Below are 13,855 nucleotides of genomic sequence, written 5' to 3' on the forward strand. Positions count from 1 at the left end.
TCAAGGGAGCACAGTGTGGGACAAAATATTCTGAACAGCAGCCCTTGAACCTAAGAGCTTCCCTCTGACATAGTCTGCCCAAATGAGAAGGACCAGGAAAACAATTCTGGTAATATGAAAAAACCAGGTTCTTTAACATTCCCAGAAAATCATACCAGCTCACCAGCAATGGATCCAAAATGAGATGAAATCTCTGAATTGACAGAAAGAGTTTAGAAGGATGATTATTAAGCTAATCAAGGAGGCATCTGAGAAAGGTGAAGTCCCACTTAAAGAAAAAAAAAAAAACATGATACAGGATATAAAGGAAAATTCTTCAGTGAAATAGCATAAATAAAAAATAATCACAACTTTTGGAAATCAAGGACACACTTAGAGAAATGCAAAATGCACTGGAATGTCTCATCAATAGAATCAAACAAGCAGAAGAAAGAACTTCAGAGCTTGAAGATAAGGCTTTCAAATTAACCCAATCCATCAAAGACAAAGAAAAAAGAATTTTAAAAAATGAGCAAAGACTCCAAGAAGTTTGGGACTATGTTAAATGTCCAAACTTAAGAATAATTGGTGTTCACAAGGAAGAAGAGAAATCTAAAAGCTTGGAAAATATATTTGAGGGAATAATCAATAAAAGTGTCCCTGGCCTTGCTAGAGATCTCGACATCCAAATACAAGAAGCTCAAAGAACATCTGGGAAACTCGTCACAAAAAGATAATTTCCTAGGCACATGGTCACCAGTTTATCTAAAGTCAAGATGAAGGAAAGAATCTTAAGAACTGAGGCAAAAGCATCAGGTAATATAAAGGAAAACCTATCAGATTAACAGCAGATTTCTCATCAGAAACCTTACAAGCTAGAAGGGACTGGGGTCCCATTTTTAGCCTTCTTAAAAAAAATTATCAGCCAGGCGTGGTGGCTCACGCCTGTAATCCCAGCACTTTGGGAGGCTGAGGTGGGTGGGTCATGAGGTCAGGAGTTCGAGACCAGCCTGACCAACATGGTGAAACCCCGTCTCTACTAAAAATACAAAAATTAGCCAGGCCTGGTGGCACGAGCCTGTAATCCCAGCTACTTGGGAGGCTGAGACAGGATAATCGCTTGAACCCGGGAGGCAGAGGTTGCAGGAGCCGAGATCATGCCATTGCACTCCAGCTGGGGCAACAGAGTGAGACTCCATCTCAAAAAAAAAAAAAATTATCAGCCAAGAATTTTGTATGCAGTGAAAGTAAGGCTTCATAAATGAAGGAAAGATATAGTCTTTTCCAGATAAACAAATGCTGAGAGAATTCGCTACTACCAAGACAGCACTACAAGAACTGCTAAAAGGAACTAAAATCTTGAACAAATCCTCAAAATACACCAAAATAGAACCTCCTTAAAGAATAAATCTCACAGGACCTATATAACAATAACACAATGAAAAATAACCGAAAGTATTCAAACAACAAATAACACAATGAATAGAATAGTACCTCGCATCTCAATACTAACATTGAATATAAATGGCCTAAATGCTCCACTTAAATGATACAGAATGGCAGAATGGATAATAATTCACCAAGTTTCTGCCATCTTCAAGAGACTCACCTAACACATAGGGACTCACATAAACTTAAGGTAAAGGGGTAGAAAAAGATATTCCATGCAAATGGACACCAAAAGCAAGCAGGAATAGCTATTCTTACATTGGACAAAACAAACTTTAAAGCAACAGCAGTTAAAAAAGACAAAGAGGAACACTATACAATGATAAAAGGACTAGTCCAACAGGAAAATATCACAATTCTAAATATGCACGCACCTAACACTGGTACTTCAAATTTATAAAACAATTACTACTAGACCTAAGAAACGAGATGGATGGCAACGCAATAATAGTGGGGGAATTTAATACTCCATTGACAGCACTAGACAGGTCATTAAGACAGAAAGTCAAAAAAGAAACAATAGACTTAAAGTATACCCTACAACAAATGGACTTAACGATTTTTACAGAACATTCTACCCAACAACTGCAGAATATACATTCTATTCATCATTACATAGAACATTCTCCAAGATAGACCTTATGATAGGCCACAAAATAAGTCTCAGTAAATTTAAGAAAATTGAAATTATATCAAGTACTCTCTCAGACCACAGTGGAATAAAATTGGAAATCAATCCAAAAGGAACCCTCAAAACCATGCAATAACATGAAAATTCAATAACCTGCTCCTGAATGATCATTGGGTCAACAATGAAATCAAGATGGAAATTTAAAAATTCTTTGAACTGAACAATAACAGTGACACAACCTATCAAAACCTCTAAGATACAGCAGAGGCAGTGCTAAGAGGAAAGGTCATAGCGTTAAATGCCTATATCAAAAAGTCCGAAAGAGTACAAATAGACAATCTAAGGTCACACCTCATGGAGCTGGAGAAACAAGAAAAATCTAAACCCAAACCCAGCAGAAGAAAAGAAATAACCAAGATCAGAGCAGAACTAAATGAAATTAAAACAAACAAACAAAAGTACAAAAGATTAATGAAACAAAAAGCTGGTTCTTTGGAAAGATAAATAAAATTGATAGACCGTTAGTGAGATTAACCAAGAAAAGAAGAGAGAAGATCCAAATAAGCTCAACTGGAAACGAAATGGGAGATATTACAACTGATAACACAGAAATACAAAGGATTATTGAGGCTGCTATAAACACCTTTATGTGCATAAACTAGAAAACCAAGAGGAGATGGATGGATAAATTTGTGGAAATATACAGTCCTTCAAGATTAAACCAGGAAGACATAGAATCTCTGAACAGACCAATAACAAACAATGAGATTGAAATGGTAATAGAAAAATAACCAGCAAAAAAAAGTCCAGGAACAGATGGATTCACAACTTAATTCTATCAGACATTCAAAGAAGAAATGGTACCAATCCTATTGACACTATTCCAAAAGATAGAGAGAATCCTCCCTAAATCATTCTATGAAGCCAGTAACACCTGAATACCAAAACCAGGGAAGGACATAACAAAAAAAGAAAACTACGGACTGATATCCCTGATGAATACAGATGCAAATATCTTCAACAAAATACTAGCTACCTCAATCCAATAGGATATTAAAAAGATAATCCACCATGATCAGGTAGTATTCATGCCAGAGATGCAGGGATGGTTTAACATACATAAATCAATAAATGTGATACACCACACAAACAGAATTAAAAACAAAAATCACATGGTCATCTCAGTAGATGCAGAAAAAGCATTTGACAAAACCAGCATCAAAATCCTCAGCAAAATTGGCATAGAAGGGACATACCTTAAGGTAATAAAAGCCATCTATGACAAACTGACAGTCAACATTATACTGAACAGGGAAAAGTTGAAAGCATTCCCAGTGAGAACTGGAACAAGACAAGGATGCTCACTTTCACCACTTCTACTCAACATAGTACGGGAAGTCCTAGCCAGAGCAATCAGACAAGAGAGAAATAAAGGGCACCCAAATCAGTAAAGAGGAAGTCAAATTGTCACTGTTTTTGATGATATGATCGTATATCTAGAAATCCCTAAAGACTCATCCAAAAAGCTCCTAGAACTGGTAAATGAATTCAGCAGGGTTTCAGGATACAAAATTAATGTACACAAATCAGTAGCTCTACTGTACACCAACAATGACCAAGCTGAGAATCAAATCAAGAACTCAGTTCCCTTTACAACACCTGCAAAAAAATTAAATACTTAGGAATATACCTAACCAAGGATGTGAAAGACCTCTACAAGGAAAACTACAAAACACTGCTGAAAGAAATCATAAGCGACACATGCAAAAAAAACAAACACATCCCTTGCTCATGGATGGGTACGATCAATATTGTGAAAATGAACAAACCGCCAAAAGCAACCTACAGATTCAATGCAATTCCCATCAAAATACCACCATTATCCTTCACAGAGCTAGAAAAAACAATCTTAAAATTCATATGGAACCAAAACCCACATAGCCAAAGCAAGACGAAGCAAAAAGAACAAATCTGGAGGCATCACATTATCTGACTCCCAACTATACTATAAGGCCATAGTCACCAAAGTAGCATGGTACTGGTATAAAAACAGGCACATAGTCCAATGGAACAGAATAGAAAACCCAGAAAGAAAGCAAAATACAGCCAACTGATCTTCCGTAAAGCAAACAAAAACACAAAGTGGGGAAAGCACATCCTATTCAACGAATGGTGCTGGAATAATTGGCAACCCACATACAGAAGAATGAAACTGAATCTTCATTTTTCATCTTACACAAAAATCAACTCAAGATGGATCAAGACTGAAATCTAAGACCTGAAACCATAAAGATTCTGGAAGATAACTCAGAAAAACCCTTCCAGACATTGGCTTAGGCAAAGACTCCATGAGCAAGAACCCAAAAGCAAATGCAACAAAAGAAAGATAAATAGATGGGACCTAATTAAATGAAAAAGCTTCAGCACAGCAAAAGAAATAATCAGCAGAGTAAACAGACAACCCACAGAGTGGGAGAAAATTTTCGTAAACTATGCATCTGACAAAGGACTAATATCCAGAATCTACAAAGAACTCAAACAATCAGCAAGAAAAAAACAACAACAAACAATCCCATTAAAAAAGCGGGCTAAGGACATGAATAGACAATTCTCAAAAGAAGATATACAAATGGCCAACAAACATATGGAAAAATGCTCAACATCACTAATTATCAGGGAAATGCAAATCAAAACCACAATGCGATACCACCTTACTCCTGCAAGGATGGCCATAATAAAAAAAAATAGATGTTGGCATGGATGCAATGAAAAGGGAACACTTTTACACTGTTTGTGGGAATGTAAACTAGTATAACCACTATGGAAAACAATATGGAGATTCCTTAAAGAACTAAAAGGAGATCTACTATTTGATCCAGCAATCCCACTACTAGGTATCTACCCAGAGGAAAATAAGTCATTATACAAAAAAGAAACTTGCACATACATGTTTATAGCAGCACAATTTACAATAGCAAAAATATGGCACCAGTCAAAAGGCCCATCAATCAACGAGTGGATAAAGAAAATGTGGCATATATATACCATGGAATACTATTCAGGCATAAAAAGGAACAAAATAATGGCATTCGCAGCAGCCTGGATGGAAATGGGGACTATTATTCTAAGTAAAGTAACTCAAGAATGAAAAACCAAACTTTGCATGTTCTCACTCATATGTGGGAGCTAAGCTATGAGGACACAAAGGCATAAGAATGATACATTGGACTTGGGGACTCAGGGGAAAGGGTGGGGGATGGTGAGGGATAACAGACTACACATTGGGTACAGTGTACACTGCTCGGGTGATGGGTACACCAAAATCTCAGAAATCACCACTAAAGAACTTATTCATGTAAACAAACACAACCTGTTCCCCAAAAGCGATTGAAATACAAAAATAAATAATAAACACTCGGAAAAAAAAAATAGCCTCAAGTAACTACTGGCTACAGTATTTGAAAGGCACACCTCTAAATCTTAATTTTTTTCCTTTCTAAAATGGGAGTAGGCATGTGCAGTGGCTCACATCTGCAATCCCAGCACTTTGTGAGGCCAAGGTGGAGCCCAAGAGTTCAAGAGCATCCTGATCATCATGGGGAGACTCTTGTCTCTACAAAAAGTAATAATAATAACAAAAAATAGCCAGGTGTGGTGTCACATGTCTGTGGTCCCAGCTATTTGGGAGGCTGAGGCAGGAGGATGGCTTGAGCCCAGGAGCTTGAGCTGCAGTGAGCCGTGTTCTCACCACTTGCACTCCAGTTGGGGCGACAGAGCAAGACCCTATCTCAAAAATACATACATACATACATACGTACATACATAAATATAAAATCAGAGTAATAGTTATAATCAAATTCTTGACCAAAGGATCAGATAATACATGTGAACTTTGAAAAACTAAAAAATACAAGTATTACTTTATGTAGATAACTATTTTATTATTGTTTTATACTCAAGAATTTCTATCATTTTGAATCAGAGGAAAATGGAATAAGCAGCCTGAGAAAACTGAGTTCCCCATATCTGGTAGAGTTTTGAGGCTGTCTGGCAATAAAGAACAAAAATATCCCGTAGAGTTAAGCTAAATCATCCCTCTATTACCTGCAGAGACCTTCCCTGGGAGGTCCTCTTTGACTCCCTGGACTGAATTAATGGTCCTCTAGGTATAACCATGACACTTTTCACACTGTATTGTAAAAAAAAGTGGTCTGTCTGCTCAACTTTACCCAAGAACAGGTGCCTCTGATCCCCGTGTCCTTCCGGTTGTCAACCGCTGGGTACATAGTATATCCTCAATCTGTATTTGTTGAATAATTCACTAGCACTGTATTCGTGAGGGTATGGTTCTCCGGATAACTTAAGTAACTACTAATCTGTGGTAAACAGAACAGCTCTTTAAGGACGATGCAGATGAATACTGGCTGCTGTAACGGCCCAGTTGGTGCATCTCGGATGCCAGGAGGCGGTCCAGTGCTGATCTCTTTCTTTTGCCCTTCCCTCCCGCCCTTCCAGTCTGTGGGATATAGAGGACCTCACAGTCACGAGGTCGCGACGGTCCGTGCCGTCGTGGAGACAAGCGGGACACGGAGAGAGAACTACATTTCCCAGCTGACTCTCCTGCGCGCGCCCTTGCCTGCGCGCGGGGGGCGAGTGCACCGGGCGCTCGCTCCCTGCCGAGCTCTTGTCGCCCGCCCGAGCCTTTGCCAGGGGATGAGGTGGGAGGCGCTAGAAACCACTTAGCTACAGCCAACCGCCCAATGCAGCACTCGCTCGCTCCCCCCGCCAGCGGAAGCGTCCGCGAAGCACAATGCAGCACTGAGCCGCGGTGGAGGTTGCAGCGCCACGGCCGCCGCAGCACCGGCCGGGGCTGGGTGGAGGTGGCCGCGGGGACCCCGGGGGCGCGGAGCGAGGGAAACGGACTCGGCGGCGCCGGCATGAGGAGCTGAGCGTCTCGGGCGAGGCGGGCTGACGGCAGCACCATGCAGGCGGCAGTGGCTGTGTCCGTGCCCTTCTTGCTGCTCTGTGTCCTGGGGACCTGCCCTCCGGCGCGCTGCGGCCAGGCAGGTAAGTTAGCCGTCCTCTGTGCCTTTGGGCCATACCATTTCCCGGGAATCTTTGGAGCCCTCAGGCGTATTGAAAAGGGGGCATCCCCATTTCCCGAGTGCGCGGGGAGATTTTTTTTTTTTTTTTTTTTAATTCGGGAGGGTGGTGAGAAGTGGAGCAAAAATATATGTGTGGAGGCGCGCAGATGCACTGGAAGCCTTCGGTCAAAGCCTGTTTTTCTCCTTCTGAAGAGGAATGGGGAGAATGGGAAAGGGGTGCCCTGCTTCTGGGCCCCGCTCCTGGTTGCTCTCGGATGAGCTGGTCCAAGGCTCTCGGGCTGGTGTCTCTGCGTCCTTCCCAGTTGGGTTCCGAGAGGGAGGGGGCGGTGGGGATTTTCGTAGGGGAGACGTAGGACTGCAGGATGGAGGAGTGAGGGTCAGGGTCATTATTTTCGCCTTTTCTCTCCACTCCCTCCTTTCCCGGTTCCTGCCTGGAGGAGACGCCTCATTGATGGAGCTAGAGAAGAGGAAGGAAAACCGCTTCGTGGAGCGCCAGAGCATCGTGCCACTGCGCCTCATCTACCGCTCGGGCGGCGAAGACGAAAGTCGGCACGACGCGCTCGACACGCGGGTGCGGGGCGACCTCGGTGGCCCGCAGGTGAGAGGCTCGGTCCGGGAGGTGGTCCTCCGCGCCTCCCGGCCCACCCGAGACCCCACGATTGCGCTCGGTTGCCCTGGAGATCCCATGTCTTCTTGGGTGAAATGAGTTGGGTCCCGATGCGAGTCATGCATGGCGCTCCCTGTGCAAAAAAGAAGGGGAAAAGGGTACAAAAAAGAACCAAAATAACCACAGGCCGAGGGCTTTGCCCGAGGGGAGTTTGTGCGGGGTGCCTTCAGCAGTGCGGTGAGCTGAGAGAACAGGCGGAGAGCCCTCTGACATCTGTCAAGCAAAAGCCAGGCATGCACAGCGAGAAGGGAGGTAGTATTTGGGCAGGGTTTGAATCATCATTGTTGTTGTTTTACTCCTCAAAGAGACTTCATAAGTGATTTAACCCAAGGTTGACACTGTAAGAAAAAATTGGAAAAAAACAAGGCTAGACGTTCTTAAGAAACCCAACTGTAAAAACAAGCTGAACTTTAAGGTTCTATTCGCACACATTTGTGGACACCAGAGATATGCCCATTCACCCCTACCTTCTAGAAAAGGTGTCCTCCTCCGACTTTCTTTATTGGTAGCAGTTCTCTTGGTTTAATTAGGGCTGTGCTGTTTGTTGAGCATTTATAAATTATGTTTTTAAAAATCTAGTTTTTATCACTGTATCTGTATTTAAATCAAGATCACACATTCACAGATATGCCTGAAAATTACTGTGAATTTATTGACAAATTTAAGTAAATACTTCTGGGGCTGTGTATTTTTTTATTTCTACACATCAGCTGATCAGGCAGTTCACCCACCTGTAAGTCCATATTAAGATAGGACTTGTTCATGTACTTGAAAATTTTTGTAAACTTTACTGAAGCAATGGCAAGCCAAACCTTTTCACATGTATAAATATATTCATCAGTGCTTTAAGATATATCTTGATGATGTGATAATTATACTAACTTATCTGTATGTGTGAAATATGTAAAAATAGAAAATATTACTTAAATCTGTATTTGTAGCCAAGTAGTTGGTACTGTTAACATTTTGTTAATAGAAGGTGGGAAATTAGCTTAAAGGGCTACATAATATCCATCAAAGATTATTTTAGTAGAAAATCCCAATATGTTAAGCTTTTAATGATGGATTCTTTTATGTGAATTAATGGTTGGTAAATGCCTATTTTCCTTTTCCATTTTGACTCGTTTCAATGGTAAAACTGAAGAAGCAGGGGCCATAGTTTCCCTATGTCATCGTATTTTTCAATTAATTAAGATTATTTCTGTGGAAGGATATTTTCACACCATTTGCAACCTTTTATTATAAAAAATTTCAAACACAAAAGAGTAGGATAAATTAATGAACCCCCAGCTCCAACAATTAGCAACTCATGGCCAATCTTGTTTTGTCTATACCCTACGTATTTCTTTTTCTATTTCCTTTCCCTCTCTATATTGTATTGAAGCAAATCATATCATTTCATTCATAAAAATTATAGGAATTTACCACTAAACAGTAAGGATTCTTTTAAAAATGCAACCATGTTACTGTATTTTCAAAAATTAGGAGTAATTTCTTACTACTATCAAATATCCTGTTTTTCAAATTTCCAGTTCTCGTAAATATGTATGTATATATGTATATGTATGTGTGTGAATGTTTATATGTGTGTGTATATATATTATATATATATATATAGAGAGAGAGAGTATATTTAGAGTATATATTTAAGTAAGTTTGTCTGGACCAGGACCCAGATAATGTCTGTAGATTGCAATTAGTTTATTTATTTATTTTTTGTGACAGGGTCTCACTCTGTCACCCAGACAGGAGTGCAGTAGCACGATTATGGCTCACAGCAGCCTTGACCTCTTGGGCCCCAGTGATCCTTCCACCTCAGCTTCCTGAGTAGCTTGGATTACAGGCATGTGCCACCTTATCTGGCTAATTAAAAATTTGTTTTTGTAAAGATGGGATTTCACCATGTTGCGCAGGCTGGCCTTGAACTCCTGGGCTCAAATCATCTGCTGGCCTCGGCCTCCCAAAATGCTGGGATTACAGGTGTGAGTTGTGGGGGCCTAGCCTGTTTTTCTGTTTTCTAAAAGGTCTTTTAATGTGTGGTTCTTTCCCCTCTATTTCTTTTTTTTCCCCTTGCAATTTTTTCAGTGAAGACATGGAGTCTTTCATCTTGTAGAGTTGCTCAGAGTCAAGATTTTGCTGTTGTAGCCAGTGCTTTAAAACAATTCACAAAGACTTTCTAGGAGAGGAAGAGAGACTGAGGGAAGAAGAGATACAGAAAAAGAAAATGACAGGATTGAACCTGGAAACTCACAGAATCTCTGACTCATGCTGGAAATGTCTTTGGGTACCTCTTGCCTTTTCTGTGTTGGTGAAAGACCACCACTTTTGAAAAGTGGAGGAGGTCAGTCCTCCTTTTCTCCCCATTTATGGAGCACCACTTGTGCAGTTTTTTGATTCACAGGAGTCTTGACTTGGGGTGGAAAGCTATTTTGGGTTCATAGAGCTTCTACTCCCTATAGCAATAAACATCACAATAGAGAAGAATGACTGGTTTTTGGTGAAGTATGAATGAATTGGTAGGATTTAGGTTTAAAAGTATGAATAGATGATTAATTCAAGTCAGAAATGAAAGCAATGATACCATCTTATAGTAATTATTACAAAACGTTATCCCAGTGCCTGGGATATGTGTACATAGTAAGGTACACATAGTACATGTTGATGTCTCTATCACTTGGGAGCCACTGCACTTTACCATGCTGCTTAAACTACAGGTGGAAATCATTGACAACTAGGACCAAATCTGACAAAATTTTAAAGACCTGTTTATCTTAGGCCAACTTTTCCTACAGTTAGGAAACAGAGGAGTTTTCTTGCACTATTGGCATTTCTAGTTTCCCTAAGAGCAATCATTGGATTGAAAAACATAAGTTGATTTTTTATGGCCCTTGTTATTTCTCTAATACTTAAATAGTTCTAATTTATGGCATTTTAATTTTAGATACCCATAGATTTTTTTTTTTTTTTTTTTTTTTTTTTGTGAGATGGAGTCTTGCTCTGTCACCCAGGCTGGAGTGCAATGGCGTGATCTCAGCTTATTGCAACCTCCACCTCCTGGGTTCAAGCGATATTCCTGTCTCAGCCACCTGAATAACTGGGATTACAGGCACCCACCACCATGCCCAGCTAATTTTTGTATTCTTAGTAGAGACAGGGTTTCACCATTTTGGCCAGGCTGGTCTAGAACTCCTGACCTCAAGTGATCCTCCCACCTCGGCCACCCAAAGTGCTGGGATTACAAACATGAGCCACCATGCCTGGCCACCCATAGATATGTTTATCAACTTCCTTTCTACTTCATAAATAAAATCAGGGTGATTTTCTGTGAACTCAAAAAGCTTATATAGATTTGTTGATTTGTTTCTTTAAAAGGCATTTATTTATTTATTTTATTTATTTTTTTCTTTTGAGATGGAGTCTCACTCTCTTGCCCAGGCTGGATGGAGTGCAGCGGCACAATCTCAACTCATGGCAAGGTCCACCTCCCTGGTTCAAGCGATTCTCCTGCCTCAGCCTCCCAAGTAGCTGGGACTACAGGCGCGTGCCACCACACCTGGCTAATTTTTTGTATTTTTAGTAGAGACAGGGTTTCACCATGTTAGCCAGGATGGTCTCAATCTCCTGACCTTGTGATCCGCCCACCTTGGCATCCCAAAGTGCTGGGATTACAGGCGTGAACCACCGCGGCTGGCCTAAAAGGCATTTATTTATTTGTGCTCCTACTCTGTACCAATTTTTATGCAAGACTGTGGGCATTTAGAGATAAAAGACACAGTTTTCTTTTAAGGAATTCTTAAAGACGTGGAAGATGAGTGGGTGAATAAACAGTTATACTTTGCCTTGTGATTTTCTGGAGGTGATCACAGAGGCCAGCGGAGGCAGAGAAGGCTAGTACTTAACCCAGGTGAGCAGTCAGGGTGGGATCTCTGGGGAAGCCGTGTTTCAAGGGTGAGTTTGGAATTGCTGCATTAAAAGGAAGGGTGAGCATATCCAACCAAAGAGGCAGTAAGTACATAGGTACATGGGAATCAGGGTATGTTTTTGTTAATTGCAAATAGTAAAGATTTCAGGGACAGATAAGATAAAACAGGAAAGCAAAGAGTAGATGCTGTGGCACTTTCATGACTTGCTGAGGAATTTGGAATTTGTCCTGAAGGCAGTCAAAGGATTTCAGTTAGGAGAGTTAACTGACCAGATTCATGTTATTGTCAGATAATCCTAATTGTTAGAATGAATAATTTTAATTTCAAAGAGCACGTGACTGTAGCTGTGTACTTTAGTTCACTAGTAAATGTTCACATAATCTTTAAGAATCATAAGAACTTAGTAAATATACTGAAAATAACTATAAATGAGTTAATATTTATAATGCACTTACAACAATGCTGGGCATAGAGTAAGCACTATATGAGTCTTTGTTAAATAACATTAACTCCTTCAGGCTGCTTGAGTACTATTTAGATATTTTATGACATCACTTGAATGCAAAATGGTGCCTTAATTACCTGAGTTTAACATAGTCCCAGAAGTATGTTAGAAATTACTCAAATTTATATTTAACTAAGTGGAATCAAATAGTCCTAGAGATAGAAGAGAACTTATAGGTTATCTAACCTAATTCAGGAATTACTTTTCACTTGTTAAGAGCAAGCCATTGGCTGGGCATGGTGGCCCACACCTGTAATCCCAGCACTTTGGGAGGCCGAGGTAGGTGGATCATTTGAGGTCAGGATTCGAGACCAGCCTGACCAATATGGTGAAACCCGCCTCTATGAAGGGTACAAAAATTAGCCTGGTGTGGTGGTGGGCACCTGTAGTCCTGAGCCTGAGGCATGAGAATCACTTGAACCTGGGAGGCGGAGGTTGCAGTGAGCAGAGATGGTGCCACTGCACTCCAGCCTGGGCGACAGAGCAAGTCTTTATCTCAAAAAAAAAAAAAAAAAAAAAAAATCAAGCCATTCACCAAGATGGATATGCTGATTACCCTGATCTGATCAGTATGCATTGTATGCATCAAAACATCACTATGTACCCCATAAATATGTATAGTTATTATATGTCAATTTTTTAAAAGGTTAAAAAGAGTATGGAAATCAGCAATGTATTACTTAATGTTTCAGAAAGCTTCCAAGAACTACAATGATATAAACCACATTAATTTTACTCTTAATGTGTCCTTGTTTCAATTTTCATCCCCAAATTGGGACAGAAAAATTTTAGAAGAAATTTTCATTGTAGTTCTTTTAAATGTTGACAATTTGATTGGTTTTAAATAGTAATTCTGTTGATATAAGTACATATTGTAAGTGATTTCTTTACTGTATGGTTACTTGAATGCATATACTTTATTTTTATCACAAGTGGGAGGATCAGCCCACTACTGAAAGCTTATTATGCCACAAAGTCCTAGAAATGGTAGTCAAAGTAATTATATTTGACTGTGGGTAGCCTTGCTATCTTCAAAGTTGTTTACCTAGTCTAAAGTAATTTCATTCCTGGAAAATAGCATTCAGGCCTAGAATATTCAAAATATTGAGAGCCTTTCTTCTGTCTTGAAATTATTTGTGCTGAAAGAATTGTATGTTTGCAGGTAAAAGGATAAAACTTATACTTTTACCTGGACTTCTGTGTAGGCAAGATATCACCTACTGAGTCTTATTGATGGTTTGATACTACTCATTGTTTGATACACATAATTGCTATTTTTTGAATAAGCACCTTAATGATTCTTTTTTGTCAACTAAGCGTCACAGATTTACATCCAGGATGTTATTTTGTGGTTTATTTTGTTGTGTTTTCACCCCATACATTTTTAATACTTTGTTTTTTACCCAGTGATTATATATTTCTACAAGGAGCAAAATTTCTTTTTGTTGGAAGCCTTTGTTGTCAGTGAATAGACGGGCTAACTTTTTTCCTCTGGCTCTTTCCCTAGGAAGTGTTATAGCTTCCCAAGTACTAAAGTGCCAAGGACATAGATCTACAGTTTGTCATAGTTTTGATAACCAGTAACAAATGGGAAAA

General features: G+C 40.0%; 1 protein-coding gene across 31 annotated transcripts in view, besides 5 other annotated features; it reads left to right on the forward strand.

The window, feature by feature from the left end:
- Nucleotides 6,730-7,139: a silencer, noted in NCBI's record as "silent region_18354". NCBI's record gives its function as "represses an Ori minimal core promoter by ATAC-STARR-seq in GM12878 lymphoblastoid cells {active_cell/tissue: GM12878}" and the evidence as "EXISTENCE:reporter gene assay evidence [ECO:0000049][PMID:35858748]".
- The window catches only part of ADAM22 (ADAM metallopeptidase domain 22), a 268,639-nt gene continuing 261,610 nt past the window's right edge, over nucleotides 6,827-13,855 (forward strand). For 20 of the 31 annotated variants that reach the window (XM_017012330.3, NM_001391975.1, XM_017012335.3 and 17 more), the window contains exons 1-2: nucleotides 6,827-7,126; nucleotides 7,602-7,762. In XM_017012330.3, the coding sequence (XP_016867819.1) occupies nucleotides 7,042-7,126; nucleotides 7,602-7,762 (246 nt within the window). In that variant the 5' untranslated portion in view covers nucleotides 6,827-7,041. Of the gene's footprint in view, nucleotides 7,127-7,345; nucleotides 7,763-13,855 lie in introns of those variants that run through there. The other 11 variants (XM_011516319.4, NM_001324419.2, NM_001391979.1 and 8 more) reach the window with 2 other exon arrangements.
- Nucleotides 7,246-7,823: an enhancer, noted in NCBI's record as "H3K4me1 hESC enhancer chr7:87563985-87564562 (GRCh37/hg19 assembly coordinates)". NCBI's record gives its function as "activates a minimal SCP1, AML or CMV promoter by ChIP-STARR-seq in naive H9 embryonic stem cells {active_cell/tissue: H9 hESC(naive)}" and the evidence as "EXISTENCE:reporter gene assay evidence [ECO:0000049][PMID:30033119]".
- Nucleotides 7,824-8,401: an enhancer, noted in NCBI's record as "H3K4me1 hESC enhancer chr7:87564563-87565140 (GRCh37/hg19 assembly coordinates)". NCBI's record gives its function as "activates a minimal SCP1, AML or CMV promoter by ChIP-STARR-seq in naive H9 embryonic stem cells {active_cell/tissue: H9 hESC(naive)}" and the evidence as "EXISTENCE:reporter gene assay evidence [ECO:0000049][PMID:30033119]".
- Nucleotides 7,950-7,999: an enhancer, noted in NCBI's record as "active region_26236". NCBI's record gives its function as "activates an Ori minimal core promoter by ATAC-STARR-seq in GM12878 lymphoblastoid cells {active_cell/tissue: GM12878}" and the evidence as "EXISTENCE:reporter gene assay evidence [ECO:0000049][PMID:35858748]".
- Nucleotides 8,010-8,089: an enhancer, noted in NCBI's record as "active region_26237". NCBI's record gives its function as "activates an Ori minimal core promoter by ATAC-STARR-seq in GM12878 lymphoblastoid cells {active_cell/tissue: GM12878}" and the evidence as "EXISTENCE:reporter gene assay evidence [ECO:0000049][PMID:35858748]".

Source organism: Homo sapiens, chromosome 7 (assembly GCF_000001405.40).
Source record: "Homo sapiens chromosome 7, GRCh38.p14 Primary Assembly".
Taxonomy (NCBI): Eukaryota; Metazoa; Chordata; class Mammalia; order Primates; family Hominidae; genus Homo; species Homo sapiens.